At 43.2% G+C, this 13,932-nt stretch overlaps 1 protein-coding gene across 28 annotated transcripts in view; it reads right to left on the bottom strand.

The window, feature by feature from the left end:
- DOCK3 (dedicator of cytokinesis 3) overlaps positions 1 to 13,932 on the bottom strand; it is a 709,272-nt gene that overhangs the window by 49,427 nt on the left and 645,913 nt on the right. For 20 of the 28 annotated variants that reach the window (XM_005264914.4, NM_004947.5, XM_006713010.4 and 17 more), the window contains 3 exons: positions 4,549 to 4,634; positions 1,745 to 1,771; positions 1,519 to 1,614 (listed from right to left, as the gene is read on the bottom strand). In XM_005264914.4, the coding sequence (XP_005264971.1) occupies positions 1,519 to 1,614; positions 1,745 to 1,771; positions 4,549 to 4,634 (209 nt within the window). The remainder of the gene's footprint in view (positions 1 to 1,518; positions 1,615 to 1,744; positions 1,772 to 4,548; positions 4,635 to 13,932) is intronic. The other 8 variants (XM_005264916.5, XM_047447597.1, XM_047447598.1 and 5 more) reach the window with 1 other exon arrangement.

Raw genomic sequence — 13,932 nt, 5'->3', positions numbered from 1 at the left:
GGTGAATAAAGCCAAACTTTAGAAAATGTTTTGGAAAGGGGGAGGTGCAGCACTTTACCCACCTCTCTTCCCTGTCTAATTGCAGCTGCAGGAGAAGCTACGGACCTGGTGTGAACAAAGAAGTCTCCTGCTGTAAAAGGGGCCCCAAGGCCAGCTTTGAACTCGAAAGGCCCAGGAAAAATGGGCTAAAGTTCACACAAGCATAGCTGTGCTACAGAATGGGGGGATGCTTAAGACATGAGCACATTTCTCAGGAATTCCATTTCCATATCCAGGCCAGTGCATTGGACACCTGTATCTTTTGCATAGCAGCATCTTCTACTTCAGCAGCAACTGGATCCAGGCTTAACTCTCCTATTTCCTGATCCATGAGCTGAAAATGCTCCCCTCATTTGGCATTTGCACAGCTTATAGCACAGAGAAGGCAACTATTGCTTGGAGCTGGGTTTCATTTATCATTTCTCCTCACCTTCCTCCAGGCTCCCAAAAGGCACCTTCAGCCATCACCTGAACCCTGCTGAGAGAATGATTAAGGCTGCAGTTGTGGCTTCATTGTCATGTTTGGACTAATTCAAAAGCCATGATACAACTGAGAAGGCAGACTTTCATTAAGAAATTCTAATTCTGGCTGGGTGCAGCAGCTCAGGCCTGTAATCTCAGCACTTTGGGAGGTTGAGGTGGGAGGATCACTTGAGCCCAGGAATTTGAGACCAGCCTGGGCAACACAGTGGGAACTTGTCTGTACAAAAACAAAAAACAAAAAATTAGCCGGGCATGGTGGCATGAGCTTGTAGCCCCAGCTACTCAGGAGGCTGAGGTGGGAGGATCGCTTGAGCCTAGGACTTCGAGGCTGCAGTGAGCCATGATTGCCCTCCAGTCTGGGTGACAAAGCAAGACTATCTCAAAAAAAAAAAAAAATTCTTATTCCACATGAACTCCCAGACTGGACATAATATGAAGATCTCTGAGCTCACAGGCTGTTTCCTCTAATCTATTCTGGCCACGACCAAGGGACAGAAATACATAGATTTTAGATAAAGAATATAGGCATTGAAAAGTGGGGTCCCTAGTCCCTGGAAAAGCCAACTTCAAGTCCTCCAGGTGATACTTCTCTGCTCATCTGCCATATGGTTCTGAGGAGGGTCTGCACTAAGGACCTACAGCTGTTCCCTGCCCTGCTCTGGAGACAGCTTTACTCTTCCCTCTTGCTGTGCCCATTCCTCTGAGCCTTGACCCTTCTGGATGGAAGGCCAGATGACTACATGTCCCTGAGATCCCTCCAGGGTACATGTGCCCACATTTTAGTGGGGAATCCCAGGAGGCCCTAGCCTACCCCTGGGAAAAGTCTCTGTCTCTCCTTGGTCATCAGCAGATTCCTATTGACTGGTGATGGCACCCAATATCACAACAGTCCTCCCCATGAAGAGCACATGGTCTCAGTTTTCAGGTCAGGGGGATTCCCTTGCCAGAGAGAGTATCCTGACAAGGGAAGAGGGGAGCGGGTGGCTGAGAAGATACCTGTAGTCAAGAAGACGTTCCATGAGGCGGGTGACTGAGGTCACAAAGGAAATGCCGGTCTCGCGCCATGTTTCTTGTTCAACCTTCTCCAGCAGGCTATTGGTGGAGGGGTGGAGAAAGCAAACACAATTCATGAGCCTTCTCCTGGGCACAAGAGTGAAGTCCAAGAGCCCATGGAGGCTGTGATGGATCTGGAGACAGCAGACTTACCACACTGCAGTCTTACCTGGGGTAGGGCCCAAACAGCTGGGTTCTACTCCATGCAGCAGAAAGCAAAGATAAGGAGGTTACTGAACTGGCAGCAACAAATGAAAACACATCTTCTATTTCCATGTACAAGTTCCTAAGGATGCCACTGAGGTGGGGGGAGGGAGGGGTTCGGCTCCAGCCACCTTAGGCATACACTGTAACTCACTTCTCTTCTGTTCTAAAGGAGTAGTTGAGGTCTGTTCTGAAGCAGTAGTTGAACAAGAGCCCACTGAGGGATAAGCCTGACTTTGCCAATGGCTGACTGTCTTTATCACTGCCCAGAGCCATCCTCACCAAGCTCTGTTTTTCAAAATTTTAATCTTTCTTTTTTAAGATGGGGTCTTGCTATGTTGCCCAGTCTGGCCTTGAACTCCTAGCCTCAAGTGATTCTCCTGCCTCGACCTCCCAAAGTGCTTGGATTATGGGCATGAGCCACCATACCCAGCTTAAACCCATCATCTTCATGGAAACTAAGGGAAAGATTCCACTAGTCTTGGGGCCCCAACATGAGGGAAAGTGAGCAAGTCCAGGAGCTATACTTGGCCATCCTACTGTCACAGGGAATGCTCCCAAGCAAAATGTGCCAGAGCCAGGAGCTAAATGTCCAGGTTCTTTTCTTACTTGACAACCCCATGCTCCTGGTACCTCAGGGCAGCCCCTGGCTTCTCCAAAAGCCTGGCTTCTGAGATCCTCTGCCATCGCACAGGTCTTTCCTAATGGACAATGACCTGAACTCTTTCTGCTTGTTCCAGTGATGAGCCCAGGTCCATCCTTCACTCCATACAACCCTATTCCTGATTCCTTTCCACACTATTCCTTGCTCTCTAAGGTCATGAGAGTCACCTGGGGTGGCAGACCCAGTTAGGGGTCTAGCACTGGGGACTCAAACCCACAGCCTGACTGCTGTTAATGCTGCTGCTACAATGATGACTGTCTCCTTGCACAGAGCATACTGCCTAGGCCAGGCTTCTGAGAAAGTGAGGGTTTTCCAGGTGACTCCTGTTGTTAGAGAAGGTAAGAACACTGAATCTGACTTCTGTGGCTTTATCCGTTGAGAAATGTACCAGCATTTTTCAAATGTGTTCTACAGAGGTCTCTGTCCTAGAGGACAGGTGGAAATGTTCTGTGAGCACACAAGCATGGAAAATTGGGAAATGCTGATCACTATACCCTCCTTTTGGAGATTTTTCATATCCTTTATTTTTTCTTTTTTGAGATGGGGTCCTGCTATGTTGCTCAGGATAGTCTCGAACTCCTGGGTTCAAGCAATCCTCCCACCTTAGCCTCCCAAGTAGCTGGGATTACAGGTGCGTACCACTGCACCCAGCTCATATCCTTTTGCACAACAAAGGCTTTGAGAAGTCCTACAATAAAGAGGCTTGTTCAATTTTGCTTAGCTGAATCTTTTCTAAACTAATTCACCCATGATTTACTTTTTTTTTTTTTTTAGCATACCTACAAACATCTTCCAAAAACACAAATTGGAAAATGCTGCTCCATGTTATCAGTGGTTCTCAGTTCTTAGACTGATTTTAAAAGAGCTTATAAACATGATTTGGTCAGGTAATTAGTAATTACAGATTATTTTTGTACTTTTTCCTTTGTAGTAGTCATTTGTTAGTGGCCAAGGAACACTGCCTTGTTTCCACAATTAGACAAATCTTCGGCTAAAAAAGAAATACTAAAGTATGGATTCATTTTCACAAATTGTAATTATTTAAATTAAAAATAAATTTACATTTTACCTCATGACTCCTCAAGAAACAAAATGGGCATAGTATAGGGGAGACTCCCCCCTTTTTAAATTAGAAGATCTGGGCCCTCCTTCCAGAGCTGCCTCTTACTGATCATGCAACTGAGTGCAGGCTGGCACTTCCCTGAGCCCAGTTCTTTATCTCTCAAGTGGGAGGGAAGATAATTTCTACTCTGCACACCTTGCAGGTATGTTGTGATGATCAAATAAGGTAAGAAATGCCAATACATTTTGCACACTGGAAAGTTCTAAGCAAATGGATAGTATTATTCCTGAAAAAATATGCTAGAGGTTTGTCTTCAAAATGGTACTAAAACAAAGAACATCTCAAAGTTGGAAATAAGTAAGATGGGGAGGGTATTCTAGAGCTATAAATATCTTAAGATTTCATTTTTTAGGAAGATAAAATAGCAACATCACTATCTACTTGGGAGGGCCATAGTTCCCCTGGGTCTCTCTTCAGGTCTCTTGGCCTCCATCAACTCAAGCCAGAAACCATGGAATGGAGGATCCAGAAGAACCCTGACATCATTCAGTACAACCATCTCATTCCACAAACATGAAAACTGGCCTGGAAAGAGTGTTGCAGCTTGTTCAAGAGCTCACTGCAATGTGAGCTGATTGTACTACCTTACAAAGCAGGGCAAACAGGAACCTGTCTCTCAAAGGAGGATTTATCCCCCACCTTGAAATGCCAGCATTGAGCCCAGAACTGAGTCTCCATGAACCGTCTGCCCCCCATCCAGATGCAGTGCATGTTATGAAGACACGCAATGATCCTTTTCCTGTCAGCAAATCCAGGAGCTCAGAGATTACCTGTTTTCTATCTTTTCAGTCAACTATGGGAATCCCTGAAAGACCTTGGTTTCTTGTTGACAGAAGTTGAGCATTGCTACCATCAGGAACAACCCAGGTCCCTCTTGATGACCAACCTCTAAAGCCTGCCAGTGCAGTTGCAACCTCTACTTTTCATTGGCCCACTTCATCCCATCCCCCAGTGTGGTGTGCCTGGGGCTGGAGCAGCTTACAGTAGGCTGAAGAGCTCCCTGTAGCTCTCGTCACCTTTCCCTTCTGACACCATGCTGTCCAGCTTGTCAATCAACTCGGCCTCCACCTAGAAGGAAGCAGAGACTTCATAAACCTGAGATGACCTCAGAAAAAGAATGGGAAATCCAGTTCCTGTGGTGGGTGAGGATGGTGGGAAACTACTTCCTGATCCTGTCCTTGCTCCAAAGAAATCCCAGGGAAGGTAGTATTTTACCTATAGCACCAAGAAACCATTCTGCTCCCCAAATCAAAAAGGCCTCCCACCCTAATGGTTTGAAAAAGAGATAGGACTTAAAAGTCTCAGGTACTCTTTCCAATCTAAGGGCAAAAGGCAAGGATTCCCTACAGAGAAAAGTACTTTGGATTCAAAAGAGGCCTTTTTCAGATGTTTTTTTCCCCCTTTAAAAACATTAATTCAAAAGAATTTGTATGCGTAAAATACATTTGGTTAGAACTTTACCCTGTAGTCAGCCAGTCAAAAAGGATGCTTTCTGGGGAGCTTGTCCTCACTCTAATGACTGGCATTAAATGGAGCTAAATGAGATTTGAGTGTTTCCTCCAGCCAATTTCCTTCAGGATAACAGGCTCTACTGTTTGTACTCACAGAACCTAGAGCCCTTGAGGCTGCTGTTCCTATCACTGGGCCATCACCGGGCCCCTGCATTTGTTATTGGATACCTAAATCATAAGGAGCAAGACTATATTTGTTCCTACCCCACGGATTTGCAAGGGCATTCAGCAGTACTCAGTCACTTTTTTTTTAAATTTAATTTAATTTTAAGTTCAGGGGATACCCGTGCTTGATTGTTTGTTTGATTGTTGATTGATTGGTACCTGTGCCAGGTTTGTTACGTGGGTAAGCATGTGCCATGGTGGTCTGCTGCACCTATCAACCCATCACCTAGGTATTAGGCCTCAGATGCATTGACTATTTATCCTGATCTCAGCCACTTTTCTAATAGGTCTCACTGGATTCACTTTGAGGTGAGAAACTGGTTGTAAGTGATATGATATAAAATTGTTTTAACCTTTTATTAACCTTTATTTATTTATTTTGAGATGGAGTCTCACTATGTCAGGCTGGAGTGCACAGGCGCGATCTCGGCTCACTGCAACCTCCACCTTCCAGGTTCAAGTGATTCTCCTGCCTCAGCCTCCTGAGTAGCTGGGATTATAAGCACGCACCACCACACCCAGCTAATTTTTGTATTTTTAGTAGAGATGGGGTTTCACCATGTTGCCCAGGCTGGTATTGAATTCCTGACCTCAGATGATCCACCTGCCTCAGCCTCCCAAACTGCTGGGATTACAGGCATGAGCCACCGTACTGGACCCCTTTGTTAACCTTTAAACTGTGGTACTGTGATATTATTTATTATTTCATATAAACAAAAAAGCCATGGTATGGCTGCATGAAATAATGTACTATAAACAGAAGCCTTTCTCACTCTACAGAGAGCAAAGAATCCTAAGGCTAAGAAATAATAAAAGAATAACTGAATTAGTAAATTCAATGAAGGCAGTTAGGGCCTCTGAAGTCCGATGACCAGAAAATGAGGACAGAGAAATAAATATAGCCTCTCTTTTTTTTTTTTTTTTTAATAGTGGTCTGCTACATGGCCAGGGCAGGGATGAGTGAGTTGCTTGAATATACATTTGAGAAGAAACAGAAAGTCTGAGACCTGGGGTCCTTAGGGATTGAAGCCGTCTCACTCTCTTTGTGTAGAGAAGAGGCATAAGCAGGAACTTGCCTGGGGTTATGTCAAGTCAGGTAGAGCTGCATCTAGAAGCCAAGGTGGATTAGTCCCACTTCAGAGCTTTTCTTGCCTCACTGGGTCAACCTGCTGGCTAAAAGGCCCCCAAGAGACGGGCCTGATTATAACAAGGGATCTCTCTTCACACATGGTGGTATAGGTAGATTGTGCCTTCAGAACAGAGCAAAAATGTGGGGAGGGGACCTGGAGCAGCAGAGAGTACAACAGTGTAAACAGGGTACAACAGTCCACTGGCGCCTAAATATTTCTCAAAATGGGTCTCTGGGCCAGCAGCAGCAGTTTTACCAGAGATCTTGTTAGAAATTAAAATTCTCAGGCCTCCTCTAGTTTGTTGGATCAGAAACTCAGGGTGGGAGCACACAAGTTGTGCTTTAATGAATCTTCCACGTGCTTCTGATACCTATTCAAGTGTTTTGAACTTTGTATTAGGCAAAGAAGCTGGTGATGGGGCTGGGTGTGGTGGCTCATGCCTGTAATCCCAGCACTTTGGAAGGCTGAGGCGGGCAGATCACCTGAGGTCAGGAGTTTGAGACCAGCCTGACCAACATGGTGAAACTCCATCTCTACTAAAAATACAAAAAAAGTAGCCAGGCGTGGTAGCACCTGCCTATAGTCCCAGCTACTTGGGAGGCTGAGGCAGGAGAATCACTTGAACCCAGGAGGTGGAGGTTGCAGTGAGCCGAGATTGTGCCACTGCATTCCAGCCTGGGCAACAGAGTGAGACTCCATCTCAAAAAAAAAAAAAAAAAAAAAGCTGGTGATGGAAGGATATGGGGGACATTACTTAATCACCCCTACAGAGCTCATAAAGGAGAAGTTATTAGGAGAAATCTAGAAATCTGAAACATGGGACACTGAATATCAATGCATGCAAAATCAACATCTGTAAGTCAAACAAAATAATAAGTTCTTCAAACATATTTTGTCATAATTAGTGACACTGACCATCAAGTTTGCAGTTACTTTTATTCCATAGAAACAATATTCCTGAAGTGACATCTTCATTCAACAAATATTTGTCCTGTGATATAATGAGCTGCATAGTTCTGATATTTACCTCTCTAAGCCCAAGTTTCTACATTTGTGAAATAGGAATGGTGGTAACATTCCTCTTTGGTGTCACTGTGCCCTGGATCTTGGGAAGCACTCAATAAATGCTAGTTTTGATTTTCATCTCTATGAGCCTACCATGTCCCAGGCACCATGGTGGGTTCTGAGATATAAAAATGCACAAGAAATAATCCTGGTCCCTAAGAGCCCATCATCTGGCAGAGGAGGCAGGTATGACAGCTGACACGGCTCAGCACGGTGATTGCTTAGATGGAACATACACAGAAAAGGTAGTCTGGATTTCAAAAAATCGTGCTGTAAAAACTCAAGAAAGGTTTCTGACTCTTTGATCCAGTGATTACAGGTTGAGAAATTTACCTAAGAAAATGAGAATAAATGTTTTTTGCAATATTAACAACAAAAATTTGGAATGAACCTGAGTTGCTAAAATTAGGGGCTGGGAGAGGTGGGTCATGCCTGTAACCCCAGCACTTTGGGAGATGGAGGCAGGTGGATCACATGAGGTCAGGAGTTTGAGACCAGCCTGACCAACATGGTGAAATCCCATCTCTACTAAAAATACAAAAAAAATTAGCTGGGCATGGTGGTGCACGCCTGTAATCCCAGCTACTTGGGAGGCTGAGGCAGGAGAATTGCTTGAACCTGGGAGGAGGAGGTTGCAGTGAGCCAAGATCATGCCATTGCACTCCAGCCTGGGCAACAAGAGGGAAACTCCATCTCAAAACAACAACAACAACAACAACAACAACAACAACAACAACAACAACAACAACAAAACATGCCAGGCGTGGGGGCTCACGCCTGTAATCCCAGCATTTTGGGAGGCCCAGGTGGGCAGATCATGAGGTCAGGAGCTCGAGACCAGTCTGACCAACAGGCTGATAGTTTTGCAGTTTTAGTAGAAACCCAGTTTCTACTAAAACTACAAAAATTAGCTGGGTGTGGTGGCATGCACCTATAATCCCAGCTACTCAGGAGGCTGAGGCAGGAGAATCACTTGAACCCGGGAGGCAGAGGTTGCAGTGAGCCGAGATCATGCTGCTGCACTCCAGCCTGGGTGACAGAGCGAGACTCCGTCTCAAAAAAAAAAAAAATTAAAAAAAATAAAATTAGGAGCTTAACAAAATACATTACAGTCCAGCCATACAATGGAATACCATATAGACTCTAAACTGACAGGGTAGTATAGGGGAGCATTAATTCACATGAAGAGGTAGTCATGACAAGTTGCTACCAAAAAAGGGATATTACAAACCAATATACACAACAATTTCATTTTTTTGGCCTTTTTTTTTTTTTAATACTTTAGGTTCTGGGGTACATGTGCAGAACGGGCAGTTTTGTTACATAGGTATACCTGTGCCATGGTGGTTTGCTGCACCCATCAACCTGTCTTCTACATTAGGTATTTCTTCTAATGCTATCCCTCCCCTAGCCCCCCATCCCCTGACAGGCCCTGGTGTGTGATGTTCCCCTCCCTGTGTCCATGTGTTCTCATTGTTCAGCTCCCACTTATGAGTGAGAACATGCAGTGTTTGGTTTTCTGTTCTTTTATTAGTTTGCTGAGAATGATGGTTTCCAGCTTCATACATGTCCCTGCAAAGGACATGAACTCATCTTTTTTTATGGCTGCATAGTATTCCATGGTGTATATGTGCCACATTTTCTTTATCCAGCCTATCATTGATGGGCATTTGGGTTGGTTCCAAGTCTTTGCTATTGTGAATAGTGTCGCAGTAAACATACATGTGCATGTGTCTTTATAGTAGAATGATTTATAATCCTTTGGGTATATAGCCAGTAATGTGATTGCTGGATCAAATGGTATTTCTGGTTCTAGATCCTTGAGGAATTGCCAGACTGTCTTCCACAATGGTTGAAGTAATTTACACTCCCACGAACAGTGTAAAAATGTTCCTATTTCTCCACATCCTCTCCAGCATCTGTTGTTTCCTGATTTTTTAATGACTGTCATTCTAACTGGTGTGAGATGGTATCTCATCGCGGTTTTGATTTGCATTTCTCTAATGACCAGTGATGATGAGCTTTTTTTACATATGTTTGTTGGCCACATAAATGTCTTCTTTTGAGAAGTGTCTGTTCATCTTCTTTGCTCACCTTTTGATAGGGTTTTTTTTTTCTTGTAAATTTAAGTTCTTTGTAGATTTTGGATGTTAGCCCTTTGTCAGATGGATAGATTGCAAAAATTTTCTCCTATTCTGTAGGTTGTCTGTTCACTCTGATGATAGTTTCTTTTGCTGTGCAGAAGCTCTTTAGTTTAATTAGATCCCATTTGTCAATTCTGGCTTTTGTTGCTATTGCTTTTGGTGTTTTAGTCATGAAATCTTTGCCCATGCCTATGTCCTGAATGGTATTGCCTAGGTTTTCTTCTAGGGTTTTTAAGGTTTTATGTCTTATATTTAAAGTCTTTAATCCACGTTGAGTTAATATCTGTATAAGGTGTAAGGAAGGGGTCCAGTTTCAGCTTTCTGCATATGGCTAGCTAGTTTTCCCAACACCGTTTATTAAATAGGGAATCCTTTCCCCATTGCTTGTTTTTGTCAGGTTTGTCAAAGATCAGATGGTTGTAGATGCATGTTGTTATTTCTGAGGCCTCTGTTTGGTTCCATTGGTCTATATATCTGTTTTGGTACCAGTACCATGCTGTTTTGGTTACCGTAGCCTTGTAGTATAGTTTGAAGTCAGGTAGCATGATGTCTCCAGCTTTGTTCTTTTTGCCTAAGATTATCTTGGCTATGCAGGCTCTTTTTTGGTTCCATATGAAATTTAAAGTAGTTTTTTTCTAATTCTGTGAAGAAAGTCAACGGTAGCTTGATGGAGATAGCATAGAATCTACAAATTAGTTTGGGCAGTATGGCCATGATATTCATTCTTCTTATCCATGAGCATGGAATGTTTTTCCATTTATTTGTATCCTCTCTTATTTCCTTGAGCAGTGGTTTGTAGTTCTCCTTGACGGGGTCCTTCACATCCCTTATAATTTGTATTCCTAGGTATTTTATTCTCTTTGTAGCAATTGTGAATGGGAGTTCACTCATAATTTGGCTGTTTGTCTGTTATTGGTGTATAGGAATGCTTGTGATTTTTGCACATTGATTTTTTATCTTGAGACTTTGCTGAAGTTGCTTATCAGCTTAAGGAGATTTTGGGCTGAGACAATGGGGTTTTCTAAATACACAATCATGTCATCTGCAAACAGAGACAATTTGACTTCCTCTCTTCCTATTTGAATACCCTTTATTTCTTTATCTTGCCTGATTGCCCTGGCCAGAACTTCCAATACTACGTTGAATAGGAGTGGTGAGAGAGGGCATCTATGTCTTATGCCGGTTTTCAAAGGGAATGCTTCCAGTTTTTGGCCATTCAGTTATGATACTGGCTGTGGGTTTGTCATAAATAGCTCTTATTATTCTATTTTGTTGATCTTTTCAAAAAACCAGCTCCTGGATTCATTGATTTCTTGAAGGGTTTTTGTGTGTCTCCATCTCCTTCAGTTCTGCTCTGATCTTAGTTATTTCTTGTCTTCTGCTAGCTTTTGAATTTGTTTGCTCTTGCTTCTCTAGTTTTTTTAATTGTGATGTTAGAGTGTCAATTGTAGATCTTTCCAGCTTTATCTTGTGGGCATTTAGTGCTATAAATTTCCCTCTACACACTGCTTTAAATGTGTCCCAGAGATTCTGGTACGTTGTGTCTTTGTTCTCATTGGTTTCAAAGCACATCTTTATTTCTGCCTTCATTTTGTTATTAACCCAGTAGTCATTCAGGAGCAGGTTGTTCAGTTTCCATATAGTTGTGCGGTTTTGAGTGAGTTTCTTAATCTGTGGTCTGAGAGACTGTTTGTTATGATTTCCATTCTCTTGCATTTGCCAAGGAGTGTTTTACTTCCAATTATGTGGTCAATTTTAGAATATGTGCAATGTGGTGCTGAGAAGAATGTATATTCTGTTGATTTGGGGTGGAGAGTTCTGTAGATGTCTACTAGGTCCACTTGGTTCCGAGCTGAGTTCAAGTCCTGGATATCCTTGTTAATTTTCTGTCTCATTAATCTGTCTAATATAGACAGTGGGGTGTTAAAGACTCCCACTATTATTGTGTGGGAGTCTAAGTATCTTTGTAGTTCTCTAAGAATTTGCTTTATGATTCTGGGTGCTCCTGTATTGGGTGCATATATATTTAGGATAGTTAGTGCTTCTTGTTGCATTGATCTCCTTACCATTATGTAATGCAGTTATTTGTCTCTTAGTGCTTCTTGTTGCATTGATCTCTTTACCATTATGTAATGCAGTTCTTTGTCTCTTTTGGTCTTTGTTGGTTTAAAGTCTGTTTTATCAGATACTAGGATTGCAACCCCTGCTTTTTTTTTTTTGCTTTCCATTTGCTTGGTAAGCATGCCTCTATTTTGAGCCTATGTGTGTCTTTGCATGTGAGATGGGTCTCTTGAATACAGCACACCGATGGGTCTTGACTCTTTACCCAATTTGCCAGTCTGTGTCTTTTAAATGGGGCATTTAGCCCATTTACATTTAAGGTTAATATTGTTATGTGTGAATTTGATCCTGCCATTATGATGCTAGCTAGTTATTTTGCCTGTTAGTTGATGCAGTTTCTTTATAGTGTTGATGGTCTTTACAATTTGGTATATTTTTGCAGTGGCTGGTACCGGTTACTCCTTTCCATATTTAGTGCTTCCTTCAGGAACTCTTGTAAGGCAGGCCTGGTGGTGACAAAATCTCTCCACATGTGCTTGTCTGTAAAGGATTTTATTTCTCCTTCGCTTATGAAGCTTAGTTTGGCTGGATACGAAATTCTTGAAAATTCTTTTCTTTAAGAATGTTGGCTGGTCGTGGTGGCTCATGCCTGTAATCCTAGCATTTTGGGAGGCTGAGGTGGGCAGATCATGAGGTCAGGAGATTGAGACCATCCTGGCTAACATGGTGAAACTCCGTCTCTGCTAAAAATACAAAAAAATTAGCCGGGCATAGTGGCAGGCACCTGTAGTCCCAGCTTCTCTGGAGGCTGAGGCAGGAGAATGGCATGAACCCAGGAGGCAGAACTTGCAGTGAGCCGAGATTGCACCACTGCACTCCAGCCTGGGCGACCAAGCAAGACTCCATCTCAAAACAAACAAAAACAAAAACAAAAACAAAAGAATGTTGAATATTGGCCCCCACTCTCTTCTGGCTTTTCTGGCTTGTAGGGTTTCTGCAGAGATCCACTGTTAGTCTGATGGGCTTCCCCTTGTGGGTAACCTGACCTTTCTCTCTGGCTGCCCTTAACATTTTTCCCTTCATTTCAACCTTGGTGAATCTGACGATTATATGTCTTGGGGTTGTTCTTCTCGAGGAGTATATTTGTGGCATTCTCTGGATTTCCTGAATTTGAATGTTGGCCTGTCTTGCTAGGTTGGGGAAGTTCTGCTGGATAATATCCTGAAGAGTGTTTTCCAACTTGGTTCCATTCTCCCTGTCACTTTCAGGTACGCCAATCAAACGTATATTTGGTCTTTTCACAGAGTCCCATATTTCTTGGAGGCTTTGTTCATTCCTTTTCATTCTTTTTTCTCTAATCTTGTCTTCTTGCTTTATTTTATTAAGTTGATCTTCAATCTCTGATATTCTTTCTTCCGCTTGATCAATTTGGCTATTGATACTTGTGCATGCTTCATATAGTTCTCGTGCCGTGTTTTTCAGCTCCATCAGGTCATTTATGTTCTTCTCTAAACTGGTTATTCCAGTTAGCAATTCGTCTAACCTTTTTCAAGGTTCTTGGCTTCCTTGCATTAGGTTAGAACATGCTCCTTTAGCTTGGAGGAGTTTGTTATTACCCACCTTCCAAAGCCTACTTCTGTCAATTCGTCAAATTCATTTTCCGTCCAGGTTTGTTCCCTTGCTGGCTAGGAGTTGTGATCCTCTGGAGGAGAAGAGGCATTCTGGTTTTTGGAATTTTCATCCTTTTTGCAGTGTTTTCTCTCCATCTTCGTGGATTTATCTACCGTTGGTCTTTGATATTTGTGACCTTCAGATGAGGTCTCTGTGTGGACGTCCTTTTTGTTGATGTTGATGCTATTCCTTTCTGTTTGTTAGTTTTTCTTCTAACTGTCAGGCCCCTCTGCTGCAGGTCTGCTGGAGTTTGCTGACATCCACTCCAGACCCTGTTTGCCTGGGTATCACCAGTGGAGGCTGCAGAACAGCAAAGTTTGCTGTCTGTTCATTCCTCTGGAAGCTTCATCCCAGAAGGGCACCCACCAGATGCCAGCCAGAGCTCTCCTGTATGAGGTATCTGTTGGCCCCTACTGAGAGATGTCTCCCAGTCAGGAGACATGGGGGTCAGGGACCCACTTGAGGAGGCAGTCTGACCCTTAGCAGAGCTCAAACACTGTGGTGGGAGATTCGCTGCTCTCTTCAGAGCCGTCAGGCAGGGACGTTTAAGTCTGCTGAAGTTGTGCCCACAGCTGCCCCTTCCCCCAGGTGCTCTGTCCCAGGGAGATGGGGGTTTTAT

The sequence above is a fragment of the Homo sapiens genome, chromosome 3 (genome assembly GCF_000001405.40).
Source record: "Homo sapiens chromosome 3, GRCh38.p14 Primary Assembly".
In the NCBI taxonomy this organism is placed as follows: domain Eukaryota; kingdom Metazoa; phylum Chordata; class Mammalia; order Primates; family Hominidae; genus Homo; species Homo sapiens.
This window is presented reverse-complemented; position numbering and strand designations above follow the sequence as displayed.